Source organism: Homo sapiens, chromosome 9 (genome assembly GCF_000001405.40).
Source record: "Homo sapiens chromosome 9, GRCh38.p14 Primary Assembly".
Classification (NCBI taxonomy): Eukaryota; Metazoa; Chordata; class Mammalia; order Primates; family Hominidae; genus Homo; species Homo sapiens.
In genome coordinates, this window is record NC_000009.12 from 88,626,378 (window position 1) to 88,654,369 (window position 27,992).

The following is a 27,992-nucleotide window of genomic DNA, read 5'->3' on the forward strand; positions in this document are numbered from 1 at the left end:
CAGCCGCCCCATCTGGGAGGGAGGTGGGGGGTCAGCCCCCCCGCCCGGCCAGCCGCCCCGTCCGGGAGGTGAGGGGCGCCTCTGCCCGGCCGCCCCTACTGGGAAGTGAGGAGCCCCTCTGCCCGGCCACCACCCCGTCTGGGAGGTGTGCCCAACAGCTCATTGAGAACGGGCCAGGATGACAATGGCGGCTTTGTGGAATAGAAAGGCAGGAAAGGTGGGGAAAAGATTGAGAAATCGGATGGTTGCCGTGTCTGTGTAGAAAGAAGTAGACATGGGAGACTTTTCATTTTGTTCTGCACTAAGAAAAATTCCTCTGCCTTGGGATCCTGTTGATCTGTGACCTTACCCCCAACCCTGTGCTCTCTGAAACATGTGCTGTGTCCACTCAGGGTTAAATGGATTAAGGGCGGTGCAAGATGTGCTTTGTTAAACAGATGCTTGAAGGCAGCATGCTCGTTAAGAGTCATCACCAATCCCTAATCTCAAGTAATCAGGGACACAAACACTGCGGAAGGCCGCAGGGTCCTCTGCCTAGGAAAACCAGAGACCTTTGTTCACTTGTTTATCTGCTGACCTTCCCTCCACTATTGTCCCATGACCCTGCCAAATCCCCCTCTGTGAGAAACACCCAAGAATTATCAATAAAAAAATAAATTAAAAAAAAAAAAAAAAGAAACCATCCCACAATCAATCTGCCTCTTTGTGGACGCAGTTCTACATGTGACCCTGTAGTTAGGGCAGACTTCCAGTGTAACAATCTCAGAAGCCCAAGTGTGGAAAGGCGTGATAATATCACAATGAGGAGGAGGAGGAGGTCATTGTATCTTTCAATATAACTGTGTCCATGACTTCCTGTCTCTGTACACACATTTTTCCTTCCCCACCTTTAGTTAGATCCTCTTAATTGCTCTAGTGTGTTATATGCCATCCAGGGATTTGACCTCATGTAGGGGTGGGAGCTGGTGATGGCAGTCGCCTTCATATTTGGTGCTGGAACTTGAAGGTATCCACAGAAAGGGTACCTGGAAAATAAGATGAATATGAAATGGGGAGAGCAAGAAGGAGCTGAAATGCATCAGCTGGAGCCCGGGAGAACAGATAGAAACTCAGACTCTTTCTTGTGTTCTCTCTGCCCTTGATGGTCTGCATGTCCTGGAGAAGCCAGGTCTTTCATCACACACAGCTGGCCCAGCAGTCAGAGAAGCTGAAGGAGGATTGGGGGGAAGGTGGAGCAGCAGGAGGCCTGGCTGTTCCTCACACCAAGGAGGTGCATCCGCAGATGAGGAGTGAATGCCAAGGGCATGTGAATGCCTTGAAGTGGCTATTTCTTGGAAGCAGATATTATAAGGTGAGTTACAAGATGGTGGCTGCTTCATGTCTCTGCTTCAAATACTGCACTAGAGCCTTTCTTTGGCTCCCTCTGGCCAGAAACACACGAGAAAGGCAACAGTGGGAATGTGGTTCAGCCTGGCCAACTGGACACCTTACAAAGCTGCCACATCTAGCCCCAAAGAGATTCTATCAGACAAGGCCAAAATAAAATAAGCCCATTTAATGAAATTGTTTGTTTTAAATTGTACTAGAAAAGCAGTAATCAATTTTTCTGGTGTCATGCCTCTTTGACATTCTTAAAAATAATTGAGGATCCCAAATGGCTTTTGTTTATGTGGATCATAGCTATTGATATATATCCTTTTAGAAATTAAAACAAATAAATCTAAAAATTAACATTAATTTATTTAAAAATAATAACAAACCATTACATGTTAATATAAATAAAATATTTTCATAAAAATAACTACATTTTCCAAAATAAAGGCTATTTAGGGAGAAGAATGGCATTGTTTTACATTTTTAAAATATTTTTAATGCCTACCTTAATAGAAGGCAGCTGGATTCTCATAGTTGGCTCTGTACTCAATCTGTCGTGACGTCACTCATCATGTAGCCTCTGGAAAATTCCACTCTAGACTCATAAGAGGATGAGACAAATAATGTCTTAGTGTTATCATGAAAATAGTTTTGACTTCATGAATCTCTTGAAAGGATCTTGGAGACCCCCAGAGTCCCTGGACCATACTTTGAGAACCACTTTACTGGAGAAAAATGCATTGTTCTCTAATTTTGGTGAAGCACTGGGGAAAAAACTACAACTTGGAAGTTGTGGCTCTAAACCTCTGAGCTGTAAAGCCTATGGCTGTCTGCAAGTGAATTCCCGAGGCAATGATCTGGATAATATAAGTCCAAGCAATATGCTAATGGCTCCATTATTTGACTAGTGCAGGTATTTGTCCCTATCATTGCAAGAATATCATGGCAATATTTTGTCTCTGAAGATACTAATAGTAAGAGACAAAAGAATTGGAAAGAGAGAGGGCTAGAGAAAGAACAGGGACAGGAAGAAAGAAGAAACAGAATGTCACTGGTGCAAGCATCTGTCTGCAGACCCCAGAGCCCATTTGCTGCTAAGGAAGATGCTCTGGAGTTATGTGTATGGACTCTGAAGAGGTTGACCTTAGAAGCAGTTTTGCCAGCCTCAGGAATCAGTTTCCATGCATTTCCTGAAGTTGTAGACAGTGGTCCAAGAATTCTTGGTGGGAGGAATGAGCTCATTGTGAATATTTACACATTTTCAGTGCCCTTGGCCCATCCCTAGCATGTTTACCAGGAGAATGTAAACCACATTATTGTACCATTTGCCTGTTTATTATTGAGGTTTTCATGTGACTCAAAATATTTTTGCAGGTTTCTTTCAAGAAGTATTTGTTTTAAAGTTGATTATAAGGCAAAACTCTTTTCTCCTAGAAAATATGAACATATTCATTGAGAAGCTAACTGCTGTTCAAGATAATATAAATTTTTGCAATATCCTTATTATAAATCAAAGCCCTTATTTGGAATTAAAGTCCCTAAAAGATCAACATTTTTTTGTTTTCATCAAGCCGTGGGCCTTAGCCCAGTTTTCAGAAATATTTTGGAAAAGTACCAGCTCGTGATACCAATCATCCAGATATTGTTTGGACATAGCCACTATTTTTATAATCATTACCCTCTCATTGAACCTTCATGGAATGAAGATAAAGTCATGGTCAATGTTTTCCTGAAAATAAACTTTAAAAATGCAACATGATTTTCTTTTAAATTAAATTAAAATGATGAGCCATTAAAAACAATTTTATTTCAATAGTTTTTGGGGTACAGGTGGTTCTTGGTTACAAGGATATGTTATTTGGTGGTGATTTCTGAGATTTTAGGGCACCTGTCACCTGAGCAGTGTACACTGTACCCAGTATATAGTCTTTTACCCCTTACCCCCTTCCAGCCTTCCCCGCTGAGTCCTCAAAGTCCATTATATCATTCTTGTGTCTTTGGGTCCTCATAGCTTAGCTCCCACTTATAAGCAGGAAATTTGATGTTTGGTTTTCCATTCTTGAGTTACTTCACTTAGAATAATGGCCTCCAGCTCCATCTAAGTTGCTGCAAAAGACATTATTTCATTCCTTTGTATGGCTGAGAAGTATTCCTTGCTATGTATATACCACATTTTCTTCATCTACTTGTTTGTCGATGGGCACTTAGGTTGGTTCCATATCTTTGCAATTGCAAATTTTGTTGCTATAACCATGCGTGTGCAAGTGTCTTTTTCATATAATGACTTCTTTTCCTCTGGGTAGATACCCAGTAGTGGGATTTCTGGATGGAATGGTAGCTCTACTTTTATTTCTTTAAGTAATCTCCATACTGTTTTCCAGAGTGGTTGTATTAACTTACATCTCCAGCAGTAGTGTAAAAGTGTTCCCTTTTCACCACATTTTTGACTTTTTACTTATGGCAATTATTGCAGGAGTAAGGTGGTTTAAATAATCATTTCCCAGATGATTAGTGGTGTCAAGCACTTTTTCTTTTTTATTTATTGTCGAGTATTTTTACTTAATATGTTCACGACATTCATTCAAGCTGTTGCAAATAGCAGTAGTTATGCTCTTCTTTCGGTTTTTTATTTTATGACTATTTTACAATTTATTATTATTTTTTAAACTTTTATTTTAGGTTTGGGGGTACATGTGAAGGTTTGCTACATAGGTAAACATGTGTCACCGGGGTTTTTGTACATATTATTTCCTCATCCAGGTATTAAGCCAAGCACCCAATGTTATATTTCTGCTCCTCTCCCTCCTCTCATGCTCCCTCTTCAAGTATAACCCAGTGTCTGTTATTTCCTTCTTTGTGTACATAAGTTCTTATCATTTAGCTCCCACTTGTAAGTGAGAATATACAGTATTTAGTTTTCTGTTTCTGCATTAGTTTGCTAAGGATAATAGCCTCCAGCTCCATCCACGTTCCCACAAAAGACATAGTCTCATTCTTTTTTATGGCTGCGTAGTATTCCATGTTGTATATGTACCACATTTTCTGTAACCAATCTGTCATTGATGGACATTTAGGTTGATTCCATGTCTTTGCTATTGTGAATAGTGCTGCAATGAACATTTGTGTACATGTGTCTTTATGGTAGAAGGATTTATATTCCTCTGGGTATATACTCAGTAATGGGATTGCCAGGTCGAATTGTAGTTCTGCTTTTAGCTCTTTGAGGAATTGCCATAATGCCTTCCGCAATGGTTGAACTAATTTACACTTTCACTGACAGTGTGTAAGTGTTCCTTTCTCTGCAACCTCACCAGCCTGTGTTATTTTTTGACTTTTTAATCGTAGCCATTCAGACTGGTGTGAGATGGTATATCGTTGTGGTTTTGATTTGCATTTCTCTAATGATCAGTTATGCTGAGCTTTTTAAATATGCTTGTTGGCTGCATGTATGTCTTCTTTTGAGAAGCATCTGTTCATGTCCTTTGCCCACTTTTTAATGGGGTTGTTTTTCTCTCATAAATTTGTTTAAGTTCCTTATAGATGCTGGATATTAGACTTTGTCAGATGCTTAGTTTGCAAATATTTTCTCCCATTCTGTAAGTTGTCTGTTTACTCTGTTGATAATTTTTTTTGCTGTTCAGGAGCGCTTAAGTTTAATTAGATACCATTTGTCAATTTTCCTGTGTCCAGGATGGTATTGCCTAGGTTGTCTTCCAGGGTTTTTATGGTTTTGGGTTTTACATTTAAGTCTTTAATCCATGTTGAGTTAATTTTTGTATATGATGTCAGGGTCCAGTATCAATCTTCTGCATATGGCTAGCCAGTTATCCCAGCACCATTTATTGAATGGGGAGTCTTTTCCCCATTGCTTGCTTTTGTCATTTTTGTCAAAGATCAGATGGTCGTACATATGCGACCTTATTTTTGAGCTCTCTATTCTGTTCCTTTGGTTTATGTGCCTGCATTTTCACCAGTACTATGCTATTCTGGTTACTGTAGCCTTGTAATATAGTTTGAAGTCAGGTGATGTGATGCCTCTAGCTTTGTTCCTCTTGCTTAGGATTGCATTGACTATTTGGGCTCTTTTTTGGTTTCATGTGAATTTAAAAATAGTTTTTTTCCTGTTCTGTGAAGAATGTAATTGGTAGTTTTATAGGAATAGCATTGAATCTATAATTTGCTTTGGACAGTATAGCCATTTTAATGATACTGATTCTTCCTATCCATGAGCACGGAATTTTTTTCCATTTGTTTGTATCTTCTCTGATTTCTTTGAGTAATGTTTTGTAATTCTCTTTGCAGAGGATCTTTCACCTCCCTGGTTAGCTGTATTCCTAAGTATTTTATTCTTTTTGTGGCAGTTGTGAATGGGATGGCTTTTCTGATTTGGCTGTTGTTGGTGTATAGGAATGCTGGTGATTTTTATATTGATTATGTATCCTGCAACTTTGCTGAGGTTGTTTATCAGCTGGAGGTACTTTTGGAGCTGAAACTATGGGGTTTTCTAGGTATAAAATCATGTCGTTTGCAAACAGAGGTAGTTTGACTTCCTCTCTTCCTATTTTATGCCCTTGATTTCTTTCCCTTGCCTGATTGCTCTGGCTAGGACTTCCAATACTATTTTGAATAGAAGTGGTGAGAGAGGGCAAGGAAATCCTTGTCTTGTGCCACTTTTCAAGGGGAATTCTTCCAGCTTTTGCCCATTCAATATAATGTTGGCTGTGGGTTTGTAATAGATGGCTCTTACCATTTTGGGGTATCTTCCTTCAATACTTAGTTTATCGAGTGTTTTTAACAGGAAGGGGTGTTGAATTTTGTCAAAAGCCTTTTCTTCTGCATCTATTGAGATAATCATGTGGTTTTTGTCTTTAGTTCTGTTTATGTGATTAATCACATTCATTGATTTGAGTATGTTGAACCAACTTCTCATCCTGGGGATGGAGCCTACTTGATCATGGTGGATTACCTTTTTTTTTTTTTTTTTTTTTGAGATAGAGTCTCGCTCTGTCACCCAGGCTGGAGTGCAGTGGCATGATCTCGGCTCACTGCAACCTCCACCTCCTGGGTTCAAGCAATTCTCCTGCCTCAGCCTCCTGAGTAGCTGGGATTAGAGGTACCCCTGACCACGTCCAGCTAATTTCTTTTTTTTTTTTGAGATGGAGTCTCGCTTTGTTGCTCAGGCTGGAGTGCAGTGGCGTGATCTCTGCTCACTGAGAGCTCTGCCTCCCGGGTTCATGCCATTCTCCTGCCTCAGCCTCCCGAGTAACTGGGACTACAGGTGCCCGCCACCATGCCTGGCTAATTTTGTTTTTGTGTTTTTAGTAGAGACTGAGCTACTGCGCTTAGCCTGGATTAACTTTTTGATATGCTACTGGATTCAGTTTGCAAGCATTTTGTTGAGACCTTTTGCATCAATGTTCATCAAGGATATTGGCCCGAAGTTTTCCTTTTTGTGTGTGTCTCTGCCAGGTTTTGGTATCAAGATGATCCTGGCCTCATAGAATGAGTTGGGGAGAAGTTTCTCCTCCTCAATTTTTTGGAATAGTTTCCGTAGGAATGGTACCAGCTCTTCTTTGTACATCTGGTAGAGTTTGGCTATGAATTCATTAGGTCCTGGTGTTTTTTTTTGTTGTTGTTGGTAGGCTATTTATTGCTGATTTAATTTCAGAGCTCATTATTGGTCTCTTCTGGCTATCAATTTCTTCCTGGTTGAGCACTTTTTCATATGTTTGTTGGCGGTTTGTATATCTTCTTTTGAGAATCGTCTATTCATGTCCTTTGCCCATTTTTTAATGGGTTTGCTTTTTCCTTACTGGTTTGAGTTCCTTGTAGATTCTGGATATTAATCCTTTGTTGGATGCATAGTTAGTGAATATTTTATCCCACCCTGTGGGTTGTCTGTTTACTCTGTTGATTATTTCCTTTGCTGTGCTAAAGCTTTTAAGTCTAATTAGGTTCCAACTATTTATTTTTGATTTTGTTGTATTTGCTTTTGGGGTCTTAGTCATGAATTATTTGCCTAAGCCAATGTCTAAAAGAATTTTTCCAATGTTATCTTCTAGAATTTTTATAATTTCAGGTTTAGATTTAAGTTTTTGATCCATCTTGAGTTGATTTTTGTGTAAGGTGAGAGATGGGATTCAGTTTCATTCTTCTACATGTGGCTTGCCAGTTTTCCCAGCACCGTTTGTTGAATAGGGTATGTTTTCCCCAATTTATGTTTTTATATGCTTGTTGAAGATCAGCTAGCTCTAAGTATTTGGCTTTATTTATAGGTTCTCTATTTTGTTCCATTGGCTGACATGCCTATTTTTATACCAGTACCATGCTGTTTAGGTAACTATAGCTTTGTAGTATAATTTGACATTGGGTAATGTGATGCCTCCAGATTTTTTCCTTTTGCTTAGTATTGCTTTGGTTATGCAGGTTCTTTTCTTGTTCATGTATGAATTTTAGTATTGTTTTCTAGTTCTATGAAGAATGACAATGGCATTTTATGGGAATTGCATTGAATGTGTAGATTGCTTTTGGCAGTATGGTCATTTTCACAATATTGATTCTTCCCATCCATGAGCATGGGATGTGTTTCCATTTGGGTCCTCTATGATTTATTTCATCAATGTTTTGTAGTTTTCCTTGTAGAGATCTTTCACCTTCTTGGTTAAGTATATTTCTACATATTTTACTCTTTTTTTTTTGGCAGCTGTTGTAAAAGGGATTGAGTTCTTGATTTGACTCTCAGCATGGTCATTGTTGGTGTATAGCAGTGCTACTGATTTGTGTACATTGATTTTGTATCTTGAGACTTTATTGAATTCATTTATCAAATCTAAAGAACTTTCAGGGTGAGTCTTTAGGGTTTTCTAGGTATACAATCATATAATCAACAAGCAGCAATAGTTTCTCTTGTCTGATTTTCTTGTTTGATTGTCTTGTCTTTCTCTTGTCTAATTGCTCTGGCTAGGACTTCCAGTATTATGTTGAATATAAGTGGTGAAAGTGGGCATTCTTGTCTTGCTCTTGTTCTCAGGGGGAATGCTTTCAACTTTTCCCTATTCAGTATAATGTTGGCTGTGGGTTTGTCTTGTATGGCTTTTATTACTTTGAGGTAAGTCCCTTCTATGTCTATTTTGTTAAGATTTTTTTTTTAATCATAAAGAGTTACTGGATTTCATCAAATGCTTTCTCTGCATATTGAGATGATCATATGGTTTTTTAAAAAAATTTCTGTTTATGTGATGTATCACATTTATTGACTTGTGTATGTTAAACCATCCCTGCATCTCTGGTATGAAACCCACTTGATCATGATGTATTATCTGTTTGATATGGTGTTGGATTCAGTTAGCTAGTATTTTGTTGATGATTTTTACATCTATATTCATTGGGGATATTGGTCTGTAGTTTTCTTTTTTTGTTATTTTTTTCCTGGTTTTGGTATTGGAGTGATACTGGCTTCATAAAATGATTTAGGGAAGATTCTCTTTATCTTTTGGAATAGTTTCAGTAGAATTTGTACCAATTATTCTTTGAATGTCTGACAGAATTCAGCTGTGAATCCATCTGGTCCTGAACTTTTTTGTTGGCATTTAAAAAATTACTGATTCAATATTGCTGCTGGTTATTGGTCTGTTCAGCATTTATATGTATTCCTGACTTAATCTAGGAGGTTTGCATATTTCCAGGAATTTATCCATTTTCTCTAGATTTTGTAGTGTGTGTGCATAAAGCTGTTCATAGTACCTTTGAATCATCTTTTGTATTTCTGTGGTATTGGTTGTAATATCTCCAGTTTCTTTCTAATTGAGCTTATTTGACTCTTTTCTCTTCTTTTCTTGGTTAATCCTGCTAAAGGTCTATCAATTTTGTTTATCTTTATAAAGAAACAGCTTTTCGTTTCATTTCTCTTTTGTATTTTTTTCTTTTTGTGAGACAGAGTCTCCATCTGTCACACAGGCTGGAGTGCAGTGGCATGACCTCGACTCACTGCAACCTCTGCCTCCCTGGTTCAAGTGATTCTCCTGTCAGCCTCCCAAGTAGCTGAGATGACAGGTGTGCACCACCATGCCTGGATAATTTTTGTATTTTTACAAAAAAATACAATATTATTTTATATTCTTTTGGAGATGAGTTTCACCATGCTGGCCAAGCTCTTCTCAAACTCCTGACCTCAAGTGATCTGACTGCTTTGGCTTCCCAAAGTGCTGAGATTACAGGCGTGAACTACTGCACCCAGCCATTGTGTTGTTTTTGTTTTTGTTGTTGTTGTTTTCTTTCAATTTCATTTAGTTCTGCTCTTATCTTTGTTATTTCTTTTTTTCTCCTGGGTTTGGGTTTAGTTTGTTCTTGTTTCTGTAGTTCCTTATTGTATAACCTTAGATTGTCTATTTGTGCTCTTTCAGATGTTTTGATGTCGGCATTGAAAGCTATAAACTTTTTTCTTAGCACCACTTTTGCTGTATCCCATAGGTTTTGGTAAGTTGTGTCACTATTATCATTTATTTCAAATAATTTTTACATTTCCATCTTGATTTCATTGTTAGCTGAAAAATTACTCAAGAGCAGATTATTTAATTTCCATGTATTTGCATAGTTTTGAGGGTTCCCTTTGGAGTTGATTTCCAGTTTTATTCTACTGTGGTCTGAGAAGATACTTTATATGATTTCTACTTTCTTAAATTTATTGAGACTTGTTTTGTGGTCTATCATATGGTCTATCTTGGAGAATGTTTCATGTGCTGATTAGAAGAATGTATATTCTGCAGTTGTTTGGTAGAATGTTCTGTAAATATCTGTTAAGTCCATTTGTTCTAGGGTATAGTTTAAGTCCATTGTTTCTTTATTGGCCCTCTGTCTTGATGATCTGTCTAGTGCTATCAGTGGAGTATCGAGGTCCCCCACTATTATTGTGTTGCTGTCTATCTTACTTCTTAGGTCTAGTAGTAATTGCCTTGTAAATCTGGGAGCACCTGTGTTGAATGCATACAAATTTAGGATTGTAATATCTTCCTGTTGGACTAATCCTTTTATCATTATATAATGCCCTTCTTTGTCTTTCTTTTCTTTTTTTATTGTTGTTGCTTTAAAGTCTACTTAGTCTGATATGAGAATAGCTACTCTTGCTTGCTTTTAGTTTACATTTGCATGAAATATCTTTTTCCACCCTTTTATCTTAAGTTTATAGGAATGCTTGTGTGTTAGGTGAGTCTCTTGAAGTCAGCAGATATTTGGTTGGTGATTTTTTTTTGTCCATTGTGCCATTCTGTATCTTTTAAGCGGGACATTTAGGCCACTTACATTCAACTTTAATACTGAGATATAAGGTACTGTTCTATTTATCTTGTTAGTTGTTGCCTAAATACTTTGTTTGTTCATTGTGTTTTTGTCTTATAGGCCCTTTGAAATTTATGCTTTAAGGAGGTTCTATCTTAGTTCACATTGAGCTTTGTTTCAAGGTTTAGAACTCCTTTCAGCATTTCTTGTAGTATTGGTTTGTTAGTGGCGAATTCCCCCAGCATTTGTTTGTCTGAAAAAGAATTCATCTCTCCCTCATTTATGAAGCTTAGTTTTGTTGAATACACAATTCTTGGCTGACAATCATTTTGTTTAAGAAGGCTAAAGATATGTCCTGGGTCTCTTCTGGCTTGTAAGGCTTCTGCTGAGAAATCTGCCATTAGACTGATAGGTTTTCCCTTATAGGTTACCTGATGCTTTTGTCTCACAGCTTTTAAAATTATTTCCTTCATGTTGACTTTAGATAACCTGATGACTATGTGCCTTGGTGATGATCTTTTTGCAATGCATTTCCCAGGAGTTCTTTAAGCTTCGTGTATTTGGATATCTAGATCTCTAAGACCAAGGAAGTATCTAAGACCAGGGAAGTTTTCCTCAATTATTCCCTCAAACAAGTTCTCCAAACTTTTAGACTTCTTTTCTCCCTCAGGAACACCAATTATTCTTAGAGTTGGCTGTTTTACAAAATTCCATATTTCCTGATGACTTTATTTATTTTGATTCTTTTTTTCTTTGTCTTTTCTGGTTGGGTTAATCCTAAAGCCTTGTTTTCAAGCCCTAAAATTCTTTCTTCTACTTGTTCTAGTCTGATGGGCAATTTTTATTTCATGTCTTTTCTGATTCTAAAACTGTTGCATATTTATTGTACCAAAATTGAATAAAACAGGGCATTAAAAAATCACTTGTATACCTACTACTGTTCAAACATGTTTTAGTCTATGTTCTTCCAATAACTTTTCCAAACCCTATCTATGTATACAGTATATACATGCATGCATATCTGTACGTATGACTTTTAAACAAAATTGAGTATGCATCAAAGTTTTGATAAGCCCAGGGTATCCATTTTGAGTGTCTCAATGAGTTGAAATTTCCCTTGTGTGAGAGAAGGAGCTGGCTTGCATCTCTGTGTGGTGATTTGGGCTGGGAGTGACTCCAGTATTGCTCCACGGTCATCAGCTTATGAAAATCTCCCTGCAGGTAGGAGTAAGGTGCCCAGAGACAAAGTGGCTTTGAGTCCCTATGTGTTGGTAAAGGGCACAGGGTGAGGGCAGGTTTGGGATGTTGGGCATATTCATTCTCAGCCAGGAGAAGGCGAGACCCTTGCCCACCCCAGCTCTTGGCTGGCAGCATGGCAGCACTGGGCACTCAGCCTCAAAATGGTGCTGGGCTCAGAGAGCAGGAGTTGGTCAGGAAAGAGGGGCCAGACAGGGGAGCAGAAGCAACCTCAGTCTACCCCTCTGTAAGCACCCCCCTTTAGCAATGAAGACGAAGTTCTCAGGAAACTAGTAGGGAGAGGGGAAGAGGCATAGTAAGAAAGAGGAAGACAAAGAGCAAGTATGTGACTGAGAACATATGTGTGTTTGTCTGTGTGTGTGTGTGTGATGTATGTGTGGTGTGTGTATAGTGTGCCTAGTGTGTATGGTATGTAAAGGAAAATAAAAAAATACCAGGACTCCCAAACTTGAGCCGGGAGGCTGAGCCATGCAACACCAGCTTCCAAATGAATAGCTGTAGCATTGTGCACCAGCCAGGTCCCCATGGACAGGTAGGAGGCCTCAGGGATCTACCATGGGCTGCCCCACAGATCATTCAGGAGTAAATTTTTTGCTGGCCTCCCATAAACAAGGACATGCCAATTGTAATTTTAGGTGTACAATCTAAGTCTGGCTCCTAAAACTAAAGTCTGTTCATTCCATACTGATAGTGTCAATTACAAGCTTATCTTCCCAGGTGTAGAATAAAGACTCCTCCCTCCTACCCAGAGATGGCTGCATAATTAACTTGTCCTTTACACCCTTTTTTTCCTTTAAACATTCAGCTTCTCTTATGTGAAATGTAGATTAACTGGGCACTAACTAAAGTGTAACAGGAATGTAACCATTTGCTTTACTATCTACCTGCCCCTCTTTCTGTCTGCCATCCCTCAATTTAAGGAAATGTATAAATACTAAGTCTCCTGAAAACCTCTTTGGAAAAACATCCAGGGATGTGTCTGTGGCTAATTTTTTTTTCCAGATGCACCCTAAAGCTGGCTTAATAAACCTTGGTGATTGAGACCTTTGCCTTAGTCACTCATCTTGGTTATCAGGTGTGTGTATGTGTGCACTGTATGGAGGGTGTGTGTGATGTATGTGATAAATAACCAGCATTTGGAAGCTGACACCACAGGAGTGGCCACTCAAGGCCCAGCCATTGGAAGGGCACACCAGACGGGGACAGAAGACTCCAGGAGTGAGAGAGACTGACCAGTTCAGGGTTCAGAGCTCATCCCAGTCTCTCTTCTGCAGACCTCCCTCTTGGTCTAGAGCTCTTATCAAGAACTCTAAGCCCCAGGTAGAGGGACGGAGAAGCAACAATGCCATACCCTGCCTGGATCGCAGACCAGAATGTGAGAATGAAAGTTCTGGCTTGAACTCCTCTAAGGCTCCCCATGCCCTCTGGATCGAACCCCAACTCCTTCCTGGGCCGTGGACTCTGTGGCTCCTTGCAAGTTCATCTGCCCACAGGCCACATGCAGGGGGCTGCTGCTTGTGTCCCACACCCTGCCTTGCTCTCCCAGCTCTGGGCTGTGAATCCGTCTCCTTGGAAAATGTGTCTGCTGCCTCTGTTGAATTCCTTAGGATTCTGCCTCACTGTTTTCTTTCTCCAGAGGCTTTTCTCTAATGGTCCCCAATCTGGGTCAGGTGTCCTCTGTGTGCCCTATGGCCCCGATACGATCTCTTGTCTTGGCCTGTCCTGACCAGCATAACTTTGAACAAACTGTTTTGCTTAAATGGGCTTCTGGCTTCTTCATCTAGCAAATCAGAGTTGGACCATGCGATGTGAAGTCCTCTTGTGAGAGAACCTGTGTGATTCTCCAAATTTTTTTTTATATTAGTTATTTAACCAGCTTTTAACTTCTACTCCTCTAAGCAGCTGGAGGAGAGAGGAGGAGGAAGGTGACCTGGCAATTCACCTTTAGAAACTCTTTTCAGCTCTTTGCCCAAAAAAGTGAACTTGGTTTCTGGGCTATCCTGGCCATGTTCACAGGGCTGGAAACTACTTGGATTGATCGAATGGGACCAAGGATATGAGGAGATGGGAAACTGTGTTATGGTTCCTAGTTGGCCAGTTGCTCCCCTCTCTTCATGCCTAGAGGGGCATGTGGTCATTAGCCAGCTGCTTTGAAAGGAAAGGAAATCACCTCTCTAGAAGTAGAACCCTCCCACATCCAGGCTCGGGAGGCTTTGGCAATTGACTCACTTTTCAGACCAGTGAGGAATGGTTTGGGCTTTTGAATCACAATCCAAGAAGAAGGTCCACCAGATGCCTGCCTTTAATGACAAGAAGAATTTTGTTTGAATTAATTGTTTCATTACAGCTGCCTGCACATGATAAGCTGTTTCAGGTTGAGAACCAGAGCAACACAGGAGCTCACTGGGTACTTCTACACATCCCACTCCGTTTTGTTATTGCTATTGTTGTTTCTTTCCTTTTAACAATTTCTCTTTTTGAAATAATTTTGGACTTACAAGAAATTGCAAAAAATAGTACAATGTTACTGAGTATGTGATTCTCACCCCTAGCACTGTGTATGCATGTGTGTGTGTGCACACTTGTGTATGTGTATAGTTTATAGTTTTTTTTTAAGTATTTAAGAATAAATTGCAGACATTTGGTTCTCTTATTGGAGCACTTCACTGTGCATTTACAAAATCCAAGGGTATTCTCTTTTATAACTATAGTGCAACTATCAAAGCAGGAAATTAACATCGATACAGTTCTATTATCTAATCTACAGACCTTATTCCAATTTTTCTGGGTGTCCCACTAATGTTATTTTTCTGATCCAGCATCCCACATTGCTTTTTGTTGTCCTGTCTCCTTGGTATCCTCTAATCTGGAATAGTCCCTTAGTCTTTTTTTAATCTTCCATGGCCTTGACGTTTGTGAAGAGTGGTGTTCATTATTTAGTTGAATATCCCTCTAAATGGGTTTGCCTGATGTTTCTGCAGAACGTGTGTGTGTGTGTGTGTGCGCACGTGTGCGATGTGTGTTTGTGATGTGTGTGTGGGCATACAGTTCATGCATTTTTGGCAGAGATACAACAGAAGTGGTGTTGTGTCAGATCAGGAGGAACGTGGTAGCAATTTGTCCCATTGCTGGTGATGGTAGTGACAGTTACTTGGTGAACACAGTGTCACAGGTTTCTTCACTGCCAGGTTCCTATTTTCCCCTTTGTCATTAATGAGAATCTTGGGAGGTGATACTTTGAGACTATGCAAATATCCTGCTCCCTATCACACTTTTGCCAATTGATTTTAGCATCTTTTGATGATTTTTGCCTAAAACAGTCATTACAGTTGTGGGTGCCAAGTGGTTTTCTAATTCTGTCACTCCTTTTGCATATATGAGTCGGCATTCCACTGCGAGGAAGAGCTGGCCCTTCTCCCATATTTATTTGCTCATATCTGTGTGGGTGCATGGATTCCTTGTCTATGATATAGGTTACAATCCCTCATTATCACTATTTAGTTCAAATTATTCCAAATTTGACCAGTGGATGCCTTTTTCAGCTGGCTCCTGGGTCCTCTTGCTGTGTCTCCATCCTCTTCTAACATTTCCTTAATTTCTGGGGTGGTGTGACCTCCAGGCTCATCTTCTGTGTTCCCTGCTCCAGACCTGGGACCAGGCATTTCTCTGAGGAGCCTTCCTTCCTGTTGCTGGAGAATGGCATTGAGCAGGCGTCATGATCTGGGTGTTCTGACTCACCACCCCCAACCCAGCTTGTCCTTGGTTGGGGTTTCCTACAGCCACCTGCACCTCTCAATCAGTTTCCCTCTCAGGCTCTCTGTCCACTCCCAACACAGTACTCTCTTCTGTGCCCTAGGCTTCACGGTACAATGGCCTGATAAACATTTCCACTTGGATCTTAAAGGAAGCATGTCTTTGTGGTGGCTGAATTGCATCCCCCCAACCAAAAAAATTCATATTTTGAAGTCCTAACACTCAGTAATTCAGAATGTGATGTATTTGGAGACAGGGTCTTTAAAGAAGTGATTAAGGTAAAATGAGATCCTTCCAGTGGACTCTAATCCAACCTGACTGATGTGTTATAGGCAGAGGAGATGAGGTCACAGACACACACAGAGGGATGACCATGTGAGCATACAGGGAGAAGACAGCAATCTGCAAGCCAAGGAGAGAGGCCTTAGAGAAACCAACCCTGCCAACACCTTGATCTTGGACATCCAGCCTTCAAGACTGTGAGACAGTAGATTTCTGCTGTGTCAGCAACTCCACCCACAGCCCATCTGTGGTCCTTTGTTATGACAACTGGAGCAGATGAATGTAATCCTTAACAGAACTCATGCCTTCCCTCTGCCTTGCTTCTTGCCTTAGTGTGCCCCCCCTCAGGAAATGGTGCCACCATTCAGCCATTTGTTTGTGTCTGTCCTATCAATACTTCTTCTTCATCTTCTTCTTCCTCTTCCTCCTTCTCCTCTCCTTGTCCTCCTCCTCTTCTTATTCTTCTTCGTCCTCTTCTTCTTCTTCCTCTTCCTCTTCCCCTTCCTCTTCCCCTTCTCCTTCTCCCCCTCCCTCTCCTCCTTCTTCTCCTTCTCCTCCTCCAAGTTCTCCTTCTCCTCTTCTTTATTTTCATTTTCATTTTTAAAGCTGGAATAATTCTATAAAGAGAAAGTTTCCTCACAGACATTTTGTTATTTTGACATCTCATTTGTATAGGAAAAGCAGGATTAAAATGTTTGATTCTTTTTTATTTTCTAGTTTTCAGAATAATGAGTTGGCTTCTTAGCATCCTTTAAGTGTGGCAAAGAAATTTTTTTTAAAGTATTATTATGGACTCATGGGAATAAACATATTTTATGTACTTCAAATTGTTGCAGTTATTTTTACTGATGTTCAAATGGTACCATCCTTGGTAAATGGGAGATTAACAAGGTGCCTCCTGAACTCATTTCGCATGGTTCCAGTGGACCTCATAAGAGGCTTTTCTCTTTCTATAACAAGATATTCCAGGATTGTCCTATATATTTCCTGCTCAGATCTTGAAATGCACCTCTCTTTAAGGGTTCTTAGTTTTTTTTTCCTGAGGAAATGGTAGTTAGAGACAACTTAGGTACTAGGCTAGGATGCTTATTGCTGTTGTGTTGATTTTTGTCATTTGGCCTTTTCAGTAGACAGAGCAAGGAAATAGAAAAATAAAATATAAAGATTAAATACATCATGAATCCAAACTGCTACTTCAAATTTAAATTTAAGTGATAGACTTTCCCCCCATTTTTTAGAACAGTAATCTCTCTCTCTCTTTCTCTCTCTATATGTAATATTGTATACAATTTACCATTTAAGCCATTTTAAGTATACAATTAGTGTCATTAATTACTTTCATAATCTTGTGCACCATCACCACTATTTATTTATGGTTGTTTCATCATCCCAAACAGAAACTCTACTCATTAAGTAATAATTTTCTATTTCTCCTCCCCCAGCCCCTAGCAACCTTTAACTTAACTTTTTGTTTTCAGGAATTGTCCTTTTCTGGACATTTCATATAAGTGGAATCTACAGTATTTGTTCTTTTGTGTCTGGCTGATTTCACTTAGCATAATGTTTTCAAGCCTCATCCATGTTGTTGCATGTGTCAGAGCTTCATTCCTTTTTATGGCTGAGTAATAAATATCCCACTGTAGGCATAAACAACACTTCATTTATCCACTCATCTGTTGACGGGCACTTGGGTTGTTTGCCCCTTTCGGCTGTCGTGAATAGTGCTGCAATGAACACTGGCGTAGAAGTATCTCTTTGAGTCCTTGTTTTCAGATTTTTTGGATGTATACCTAGGTGTAGAATTGCTGAGTCATATGGTAATTCCATTTAGCTTTTTGAAGAACCACCAAACTGTTTTCCATAGTGCTGCACCATCTTACATTCCCACCCACAATATCCTAGCATTCTGATTTCTTCACATTCTTGACAACATTTGTGATTTTTTTCCCTTAGTCATCCTAACCTGTATGAATTGATATCTCATTGTGGTTTTGATTTTCATTTTCCTAATAATTAGTGATGTTGAGCATCTCTTCAGGTGCTTACTGGCCATTTATATATCTTCTTTGGAGTGTTGACTATTCAAGTCCTTTGACAATTCTTTGATTGGGTTGTTTGTCTTTTTGTTGTTGAGTTGAAGGACCTCTTTCTATATTCCCAAGTCCCAGCTGGTCCTCAAAGGTCCAATTTCTTCAATCAGTAAATAGCGAGAAAAAACAAAACGAATGTAAATGAAATCTAGATATTAAAATCTTATTATCTGATTTGAACATATTTTCTCCTGGTCTGTAGGTTGTCTTTTCACTTTCCTGATAATAAGCACTGATGCACAAAAGTTTTTAATTTTGATGAAGTCTAATTTATCTATTTTTTGCTGTTGCTTTTTGGTGTCATATCTAGGAATCAAGTGCCAAATCCAAGATTATGAAGATTTATTTCTTTGTTTTATTCTAAGACTTTTATTAGCTTTAGTAGATGCTTAAATTATAATTTTCCATTGTATGAGTCAGGATAAGTTATACTGTTTTGCAAACAACAAACCCTGAAATCTCAGGATATTAACACAATTAAAAATTATATATTGTTTGGCACACAATGCACTATGGATTGGGCAATCCTCCTCCATCTTGTAGCATGGAGTAAAAAAAGCCTTTGAGAGATGTTTTAAAGACCACCCTTGGGCTGGGCATAGTGGCTCATGCCCATAATCCCAGCACTTTAGGAAGCTGAGGCAGGCAGATCACCTGAGGTCAGGAGTTCGAGAGCAGCTGGCCAACATGGTGAAACCCCGCCTCTACTAAAAATACAAAAATTAGCCAGGCATGGTGGTGTGTGCCTGCAGTCTAAGCTACTTGGGATGTTGAGGCAGGAGAATTGCTTGAACCCGGGAGGTGGAGGTTATAGTGAGCCGAGATCATGCCACTACACTCCAGCCTCCAGCCTGGGCAACAGAGCAAGGCTCTGTCAAAAACAAACAAACAAAACCCAAAAAACCCCCAAAAATCAAACAAACAAACAAAAAAACCCACACCTGGAAGTATGTAATTTTCACCTATTTCCCATCAACCGGAACTCAGTCACATGGTCTCAACCTAACTGCAAAGGAGGCTGGGAAACGTAGTCTTTCTGCCTGCCTACGTGACTTTTAAATTAATAAATTATTGGAAAACATCATTTAATCAGGCATGTTATTTTTGCTTTTTGTGTCCTTGAAAATTATGAGATGATAGCCCAATTCATTCATGTTGCAAATACAAGACAGTTTATTGGTATTAATTTTAATATTTTATAATTTATGTTAGTTGCTATTTTCTAGCAGGGAAACCAGCACGCATTAGAGCTAATGACATTCTGTAACTGAGAATCAGGCAGTCCCCTTATTGAGGGAAAGTCTGGGAAGTGTTTACAATGCCCTTTAGACAGCAGCCTGCTACCAGATAAAGAATGTGAAACAGTTTTGTTACTTTTGGCTCAGAGGAAGCTCTCTTTATAAATGTGTTTTGAAAGCTGGAAACAGAACAAAAGCAAAGAAGAAAACAGTGACAGGAACGAAAGGAAGAAAAGAATGGAGATGAGGGGAAAGAAAAGAGAAGGGGATGGGACAGACAGAGAAGAAGAAAAGGGGGAAGGCTACAGGACTGCAAGAGGTTTGCTCGCTTGCTGCTGTGTCTGTCTCAACACAGCACCCAAGCCAGGACAGAAGAAGGCAGAGCTGAGCACCGCTACATCCTGGTGCGTTGTTGAGAGAAAGCTGTGATCAGATCTTGAGAACCTCATCACAGCATGCTTGTCATTTTCAAAAAAGAGACATGTGGCCGGGCGTGGTGGCTCACGCCTGTAATCCCAGCACTTCGGGAGGCCGAGGTGGGCGGATCACGAGGTCGGGAGATCGAAACCATCCTGGCTAACACGGTGAAACCCCGTCTCCACTAAAAATACAAAAAATTAGCCGGGCATGGTGGCGGGCGCCTGTAGTCCTAGCTATTTGGGAGGCTGGGGCAGGAGAATGGGGTGAACCCAGGAGGCGGAGCTTGCCCTGAGCCGCGATTGTGCCACTGCACTCAGCCTGGGCGACAGAGCGAGACTCCGTCTCAAAAAAAAAAAAAAAAAAAAAAAGAGAGAGAGAGAGAGACATGTTAGGAGGTCTTGATTAATACAAAGTTATCTCAGAACAGAGTATGAATCCAATGGCCGCCAGAGGAAAGACAGGGCTATGTGCCCTTGGTCACCAGGGCAAACAGTGCCTCCATGCCAGGCGAAAAGCAAATCATGTGGGACCTCTTGCTTCAGTCACGCGGAGGATTCTCCCTGTCCAGAATGTGAGCCTGCAGTAGATGTGGACCATAGGGAATGAGCATCTACTGAAGGTCAAGCAAATTTATACAACTGGAGCATTTTATTGGGAAATCACTGGGGCTCTTCGATCTGCATCATGGTTAAATTAGTACAAAATGTGGTGAAAAGCTGTGCCCCAAGGGCAAGAGAACACAACCCTTATGTTCCCTTATGCTTTTGCAAGCTTAGATTCCTGGTGTCTCTAGTCTGTGGGTATTAATGAGGTCAGAATTCTCATGACAGTTATTTTCTTTGGTTCTTGCACATACCTGCATAATACAGAAGGTCTCTCCTTTGCTAATGCCTGCCCACCGCAGAGACTGTCCACCCTGTGCTCATAGGTCATCCTCATACTTTTCCCTTCTATATTCATTGAGCTCTGTCATTTGAGAAGCCTTTAGAGGGTGCAGCTGTCACCTGGGAGAAAGTTGATGTCAGACGTGACATCTCCCAGGGTTTCCACATCACAATCCACCCAGCACGAGCACTGCTCAATGTTCCTGGACAAGAAGGTATCATCTCACAAAATTATTCATGCAAATAGAATCACTTGACTATCCCACCTGCTCACCCGATTTTCCTTTATAGTTTGAATCCTGGCTGAGTCCCAAGAAGGACCCTGTTATACAACTAGCACATTCTTAGTTTTGAGCACTCTGTGTTCTGTAACTTCTTGCATTATAAACCAAACTAACATGATTTTCTGCCTCCCCTGATTTCACTGGTGCCGTCATCATTCATCGAGAGGTTGATTTGCAAAGCTTTTCTCTGGACACATGGAGAAGATGACACGCTGGCCAGCCACAGGGAAGCATGTCCCGTGTCTGCCACTCATATAAGCTCTTCAATATATTGTCTCTGTTTATCATCACATATACATAATGAGTTATCATCTCTCCTGTTTTGTAGCTGATGAACACATTTCCAGGTCTCAGCAGTGAGTAAGGGGTTGGATTAAGCACCATGCTTTTCACTGCTATTCCTTGCTGTCTTCCTGCTCTGAGTTTATCTGAAACACAAAGGAGAGAGAATAAGTGTCTACACTGTGGTTTTCCAAACTGACCTCCTTCAATGTACCTAAGAAAGAAGAAAGAGTAATCATCTTATTATCAGAAAATGATTCTAACTATTGAGCTGCTGATATGTATTATGAACACAAATCTCAGCCCCCAAACTCAGATGTGTAGGTTTTTAAAAAATCACCTGTAATTCAACTTAGTATCTACTTCAGGCCTCATTCCCCTGAGCTGGTGGAGCAGGGTAGTTCCATCTCTTTTGGGGTCCCCTCACTGTGGAGGTGGGTGAAATTTGTGGGGCTTGTGTAGTGACCCACTCTCAAGGTGGTGGTTGGTGCCCAGTTGATCTTTGTCATCTCTATACACAGGTAATAACTTGGTCTTGGTCTTAGTCATTGTCCTGGGATGGGGTGTAAAAACATGTGTTGTTTTATGCCCCGCATTCAGGCACACCAGTCTTTCCAAGGATGGCAAGACAGGCAGGCTTCCATGCGGCCAGGGCTTTGCTATTTCTCTGTAGGTTGCTGGAAGGCCTGCACAGCCATGGCTCCTTCACCAGAGCAGCTCCCCTGCATCCACCCAAACCACTCTCCACAAAAGCCAGAAAGCCTGGAAGCAATGAGACCAAAATGGTCCCTCTGCTCGAGTAGGAGGAAAAAAGCAAAGTGAAAACCTACCCAGCCACATAAATTAAAATTTTTCCAATTATTATAAAATGCTTTTCTTCCTCCCTCTTTCTCTTTATCTGTGCATACTCTTGGGGTTTAGCTCTCTTCTAGAAACTTTCCCTAATTGCTATGGTGCCAGAAATATTCTTTTCTCTGAACTTCCATTTTTCAATTAACATCTGACACATCTTTTATTAGCTTAAAAAAAAGTTAGTGTCTTGTCTCCCTAACAGATTGTGCTCCCCTAGGTCTGGGGCTGTGTCCAACTTCTTTATCCGCCCCCCCCTTTTTTTTCAATACCTAAACAGTGCTAGGTATAGGGAGTAGCCTAAAGAAAAGTGTGTTGAATGTTTAAATTACTAAATAGGTACATGTTCAAATGCACAAATAGGCTACACGTTGTATTATTTGATTTTTTTCAAATAATACAAGAGTGTATAAAGTCATTTCCAATTCCTTCTTTATCACTGGAAATATTCTTTAATCTGAAATCAACTTTGTCTGATATTAATATAGCCACTTCAGTCTTTTTTTTTTTTTGAGACAGAGTCTCCCTCTGTCACCCAGGCTGGGGTGCAGTGGCGTCATCTTGGCTCACTGCAGCCTCTGCCTCCCAGGTTCAAGTGATTCTCCTGCCTCAGCCTCCTGAGTAGCTGGGATTACAGGCACTCATCACCATGCCTGGCTAATTTTTGTATTTTTAGTAGAGATGGGGTTTCACCACATTGGCCAGTCTGGTCTTGAACACCTGACCTCAAGTCGTCCGCCTGCCTTGGCTTCCCAAATTGCTGGGTTTACAGGTGTGAGCACTGCCCCCGGCCATCCAGTCTTTTTTTGAGAAGGGTTAGCACAGTGTATCGTTGTTGAACATTTTAATTTTAATCAGTTTGTCTATTTATATTTAAAGAGAATTTCTTGTGTTTATTAGGTCTTGTTTTTTTGATTCAATATGACAATCTCTGACTTTTTATTGTGGTGTTTAAACCGTTTATACTTAATATGATTATTGCTGTGGTTAGGTCTAAGTATCTCCTCCTGCTATTTGCTTTCTATTTGTAACGTTTATTCTGTGTTACCCTTTTCCTCTATTTTTGCCTTTTTAAAAGTTAATTGAAAATTTTTATGATTCCATTTTATCTTCTTTGTTGGATTTTAGCTGTAACTCCTTGTTTTGTTCTTTTACTAGTTGTTATAGGGTTTAAAATATTTAACTTAATATAGTCTACCTTCAAGTCATATTATACAGGTTCACTGACAGTATAAGAAGCTTAAATAATATACTTCTATTTGCCCTTTTCCACCTATATAGTCTTTATGGTTTTGTTGTCATACATTCACTTTTATGTATGTTACGAACTCCATAGTACATTGGTATTACTCTTGATTAAACAATTATATTTTCAAAAGATTTAAATTCTAAAGTATATATATTTACCAATGTATTTAATAGTTATCATTTCTGGTACAGTTCATTCATATTCATCTGGTTTTCATTTCATTTTCCTTCTGCCTAGAAGACTTCTTTCAATATTTCTTATAATATGTGTGTAACTAGAGTCTGTAAAGGAGAGAGGTTGCGGGAAGGGCAGAAAAAATATTTGAAGAAATCATGACTGAAAAATCTCCAAATTTGATAAAATTATAAAGCCATAGATCAAATATGCTTAAGGAGCCCTTTGCACACGAGATATGAATGTCACATAAAACTGTCCTGCCACTCAGTGTTGCTATTTTGTGTTTTTCTTTTAAATTCTTTTTGTCTTTTTCATTTTGAATAGTTTCTATTGTTATGTCTTCCAGTTCACTTAAAGTTCAGTTTGGATCTTTTTTTAAAATCTTTTTTAAGAGACAGGGTCTCACTGTGTCCCTCAGGCTGGAGTACAGTGGAGCTATCATAGCTCATTGCAGCCTCAAACTCCTGGGCTAAAGCGATCCTCTTGTCTTGGCCTCCCAAAGTTCTGGGATTGCAAGTGTGAGCCACCACATCCCATCAATTTGGGTGTTTTTTAAAAAATATCTTTCATGTGTCTAGTTAAGTTTTTGAACTTCTGGAATACAGTTATAACAATGTTTTAATGTCCTTGTGTGCTAATTCTGACATCTGTGCCCATTCTGGGACTGTTTCAATTTGTTGATTTTTCTCTTCATTGCGGGGCTTTTTTTTTTTTTTCTTTTTTTTTTTTTCTTTTTTTTTTTTTGAGACAGAGTCTCTCTCTGTCGCCCAGGCTGGAGTGCGGCAGCATCATCTCGGCTCACTGCAAGCTCTGCCTCCCAGGTTCACGCCATTCTCCTGCCTCAGCCTCCCGAGTAGCTGCGACTACAGGTGCCCGCCACCACTCCCGGCCAATTTTTTGTATTTTTAGTTGAGATGGGGTTTCACCATGTTAGCCAGGATGGTGTTGATCTCCTGACCTCGTGATCCACCCGCCTTGGCCTCCCAAAGTGCTGGGATTACAGGCGTGAGACACTGCACCCGGCCCATTACGGGGCTTTTTTTCCTTCCTTTCATGCCTGATAATATTTGATGGGATGCCAAACACTGTAAGCTCTCTGGTGAAAACATAAAGGTTTTCTTGAAGTGAGGTTTGAACTGAATTTTGAAGGGTATATATGGCTTAAACAGTGAAATGAGGGGAAAAACATTTAAAGAAGAGGGACAAACGTGAAAGTAGCTGAGGCATAAAAGGCTATGTGTTTTTAAGAAAATAAAAGATTGCTGGGGTGACTAGGAGCAAGCAGTGAAATGGAGAATTGCATTCTATGTCTCTTGGGGTAAAGGGATGGGCAGACCATGTCCCACTGACTCAGGGGCTTTGTTAGGCATTTTGTTCTGTATCCTGTGAACAATAGTAATTCTTTAAGGGCTTTACTTAAGCTCAGATTTGCAGAAAAATCACTCTGGCTTCAATGTGAAGAACAGCTTGAATGAGCTTCAGAATAGAAGGGGTGTCGAGTTAGGAAGCCACTGTAGATTTCTGAGTGAGAGATGAGCATAGTTGGGGCCAGGATGGGAGCAGAGATGGAAAGAAGTGGGCTGACCTGAGATACAAGATGTGGGGTGACTCTTGACCCCTCCCGACTGCACCCTATGAGATCAATCACCAAGTTCATGTGAACGCTTTTCTAAGGGGAATATTATTTTCACAGAGTGAATACATTTTTTATTGATATGTTCATAAATATACTTTCTTACAGTTCTGACTATTGCATGTAGTACCTCAGAAAGGAAACCTATTTATTAACTTGTACCCAGAAATGACTCCTAGTGAATCTCTTCTGATATTTGCCCAAGAATTCCCCTAAAACACTCAGTAATGAAAAACCTCATTCCAAAGGCCTAGTTCAATATTCCTCAAACTGTAGTGTGCATGAGAATCACCTGACAAGCTTGTTCAAACAAATATTTCTGGGCCACATTCCCCAGAGTTTCTGATTCAGTAAGTCTTATTCAGTGACTTTTCACCTCTATCAAGTTCCTGGGTGATTTTGATGCTGCTGGCCCAGGGACCACTGTATGGGAATCACTGGTTAATCAGAAGCACTATAGCCAAGAGTGCTTCTCTTGGAGAAGGAAACACAGAAACTCTGTTCCTTTCCAGTGCTGTGACTTGGTCAAGTGACTCACCCCTCTGTGCCTTTGTTTCCTCATCTGGGTCTTGGTGAGGCTTAGAGTGAGGACTGTTGGAAAGCATTAGGACAGATGTATAAGGAGCATATACACGCTTTTATACGTAAGAAAATAAGTTCCATGTGCCTTGCATATTCTACAGTTCTCAGTGTATGGTGAGACAGATCCTGCTTTCAGTTCATCCTTGGTGAATGCTAGTCAAAATTCTATGTGATGTCACAACAGAAATCTTCAGTTAACAGTCGTGGAAAGGACTCAAGCTCTACTCCATCTCCACCTCCTTGGGTTTGGGTAAATTCTCAGCAGGATTGTGCATTAGGTGAGTGTCTGCTTCTCCCCTGGGTCCCCATAACTTTGCTTGCTCCTAAACAGGGAGTCACATCTGGGAAGAGACAGTAGATAATGGAGCCAGAGAGCTGACTCACCACGTGGGATGGCTGTGGGCAAGTTTCCCAGGTTGCACAAGCCACCGGGTTTTCTGAAACAGATGGAAAGACCGCCTCTGCAGGCCGCTGGCTGACTTCAAGATAGTCGTGCTGTATCAAGTGGTGTGAGAAGGAAAGACCCATAAGAGACTTTGTCATCCAAGTTTCAGATTCCCCTGGATTCCTTAGCGATAAGACATGCATGGCTCATTACATATTCTATTTATGAAATTTCTACGGGCAAAGACTCGAATGCCCTTTAACTGGGTGCGCACATGGGCATCGCATAGTTTTCCAGAGTAACCCAAGATACTGGGGTGGAGAGAAAAATGGAACCAGAAGACAAGCCAGCTTCTACCAAAGCCACCCAGCAGTCAGCCAGCCCAGACTCTCAAATCTGGACCTGGGGGTCAGCCCTAGGTAGACAGGCAAGCCATCTTTCAAAGGCTCCCATGTCCTCTTAATAAAGTGAGAGCCAGACATTAGCAATCATTCTCACAATTTTTAAAAACCATATTATCAGCTGTTATTTTAAATATCCCTAACCTAGTATAGTTAATAACAGAAACAGAAAACATTTAAGATTTTTAAGATATAAGAATTGAAGATCTTGAGTCAAGCTTTAAAATGAAAGTAACTTTGAAATGAGGTCAAAGTTAGAACATTCAGCAAGGAATCTTAATTAGAAAAGTATGACTGGGCAATACTAGAACAATTCTGAGCAAATGATTTTGCCACCAGGAATGGTAAATTCAAAGAAGGCAAATTAGCAGTAAGTTGCAGAGATGGCCACTTGAATGAAACACAAACAGGGTTAATTTTTTTCACTCGGTCAATTGCATTTCTCATACAAAGCTGAAAAATGCTCTCTTGTAATTCTCATTTTATAATAGCAATTCTTTTGTTTTGCATTGCCTGGCCATTGCAATCTGGACAAAGCAACTTTTCCATCCTATTTTAGTTCTCAAAGTATATTGATTTTTAATTTCCTGGAGCCAGTTTTCTACACAACAATATTTTATTCACTATGAGAAGTAGTGCCAGTTTTAAACATTTATAGACTTGTTTCTCCAGGGAAAAACATAAGCTAGAAAGAAAAACTAAAATTTCATTTGATGAGATTCAAATGGCAATTGGGGGTTTGAATGTAGAAGTGTTGTTTTCTTATCCAGAACAGTCACTGGAACTGCATTAAGGGAATGCTATCTGGTCAATTTTTGTTTACTTTCTGGAGATACGATATTTTCTGAGGATTCAAAACAAGTGGGAAATTGCCAAAGTCTTGCAAGCCTGATTTAAGAGACAGAAAAGAAGAGACAACATATAAAGTTTTCTCTTCGTGCATATGAACACACATATATCTTTAAGTTAATACATTAATGGATCATATTATAACATTTCTTTTCAAAAATTTTCTTTTTGTTCTTTGCTCTTCTTCTTCTCTTTCCTTTCCCAAACTTTCTCTCTGCCTTCTGCACAGGTAACTCATGATAACAGTATGTGGCCTATAATTTTCAGCTCACTCGCGCTTACCTGCATGTATGTGCACAGATGTTAGAGAGTGCTTTTCTTCATTTTTGTTAGAAATGGGATAATAAAACAGACTTTTTTTTTCTGCATTTGGTTTCATTTACTCTGTAATTGCTCATGGAAATCTCCCAGAGTCATCAATGTGGCTCTAATTCATTCTTTTCAGTGGCTGTGTAATAGGTTGTGGTGTGTATGAGCCAGAATTTCTTTCATCATTCCTCTGTCATTAGGCGTTTATTTGAGTTCCAGCTTTTTGCCACTGGGAACAATACTGCAGTAAATGCTTATGTCCTTGTGTTTTCATTGCAGTGGGGTAGATGGAGGTGGCTCTAGACATTTTAGTTCTGAGTTTAACCTCTTTTTGCTCATCTTTACTTGCTGTAGGGGCTGCAAAGATAAATAAAACTTAATCTTTATCAAGCCCTCATAGCTGAGAATGGCCATGGAGCTC

General features: G+C 39.9%; 2 long non-coding RNA genes across 2 annotated transcripts, besides 1 other annotated feature; one reads left to right on the forward strand and one right to left on the reverse strand.

The window, feature by feature from the left end:
* Positions 1-811: 811 nt before the first annotated feature.
* On the reverse strand, positions 812-25,783 carry LINC02843 (long intergenic non-protein coding RNA 2843). Its single transcript, NR_144626.1, has 4 exons — positions 25,584-25,783; positions 20,544-21,283; positions 1,880-1,969; positions 812-1,025 (listed from the first exon to the last, which is right to left on the reverse strand). It is a non-coding gene; the product is annotated as a long intergenic non-protein coding RNA 2843 (long non-coding RNA).
* Positions 25,452-26,651: an enhancer, noted in NCBI's record as "BRD4-independent group 4 enhancer chr9:91266744-91267943 (GRCh37/hg19 assembly coordinates)". NCBI's record gives its function as "activates an origin of replication core promoter dependent on BRD2, P300/CBP, MED14 and CDK7 cofactors, and independent of BRD4, by STARR-seq in HCT116 cells {active_cell/tissue: HCT116}" and the evidence as "EXISTENCE:reporter gene assay evidence [ECO:0000049][PMID:35650434]".
* LOC105376135 (uncharacterized) lies at positions 25,472-26,496 on the forward strand. Its single transcript, XR_930098.2, has 2 exons — positions 25,472-25,689; positions 25,812-26,496. It is a non-coding gene; the product is annotated as an uncharacterized LOC105376135 (long non-coding RNA).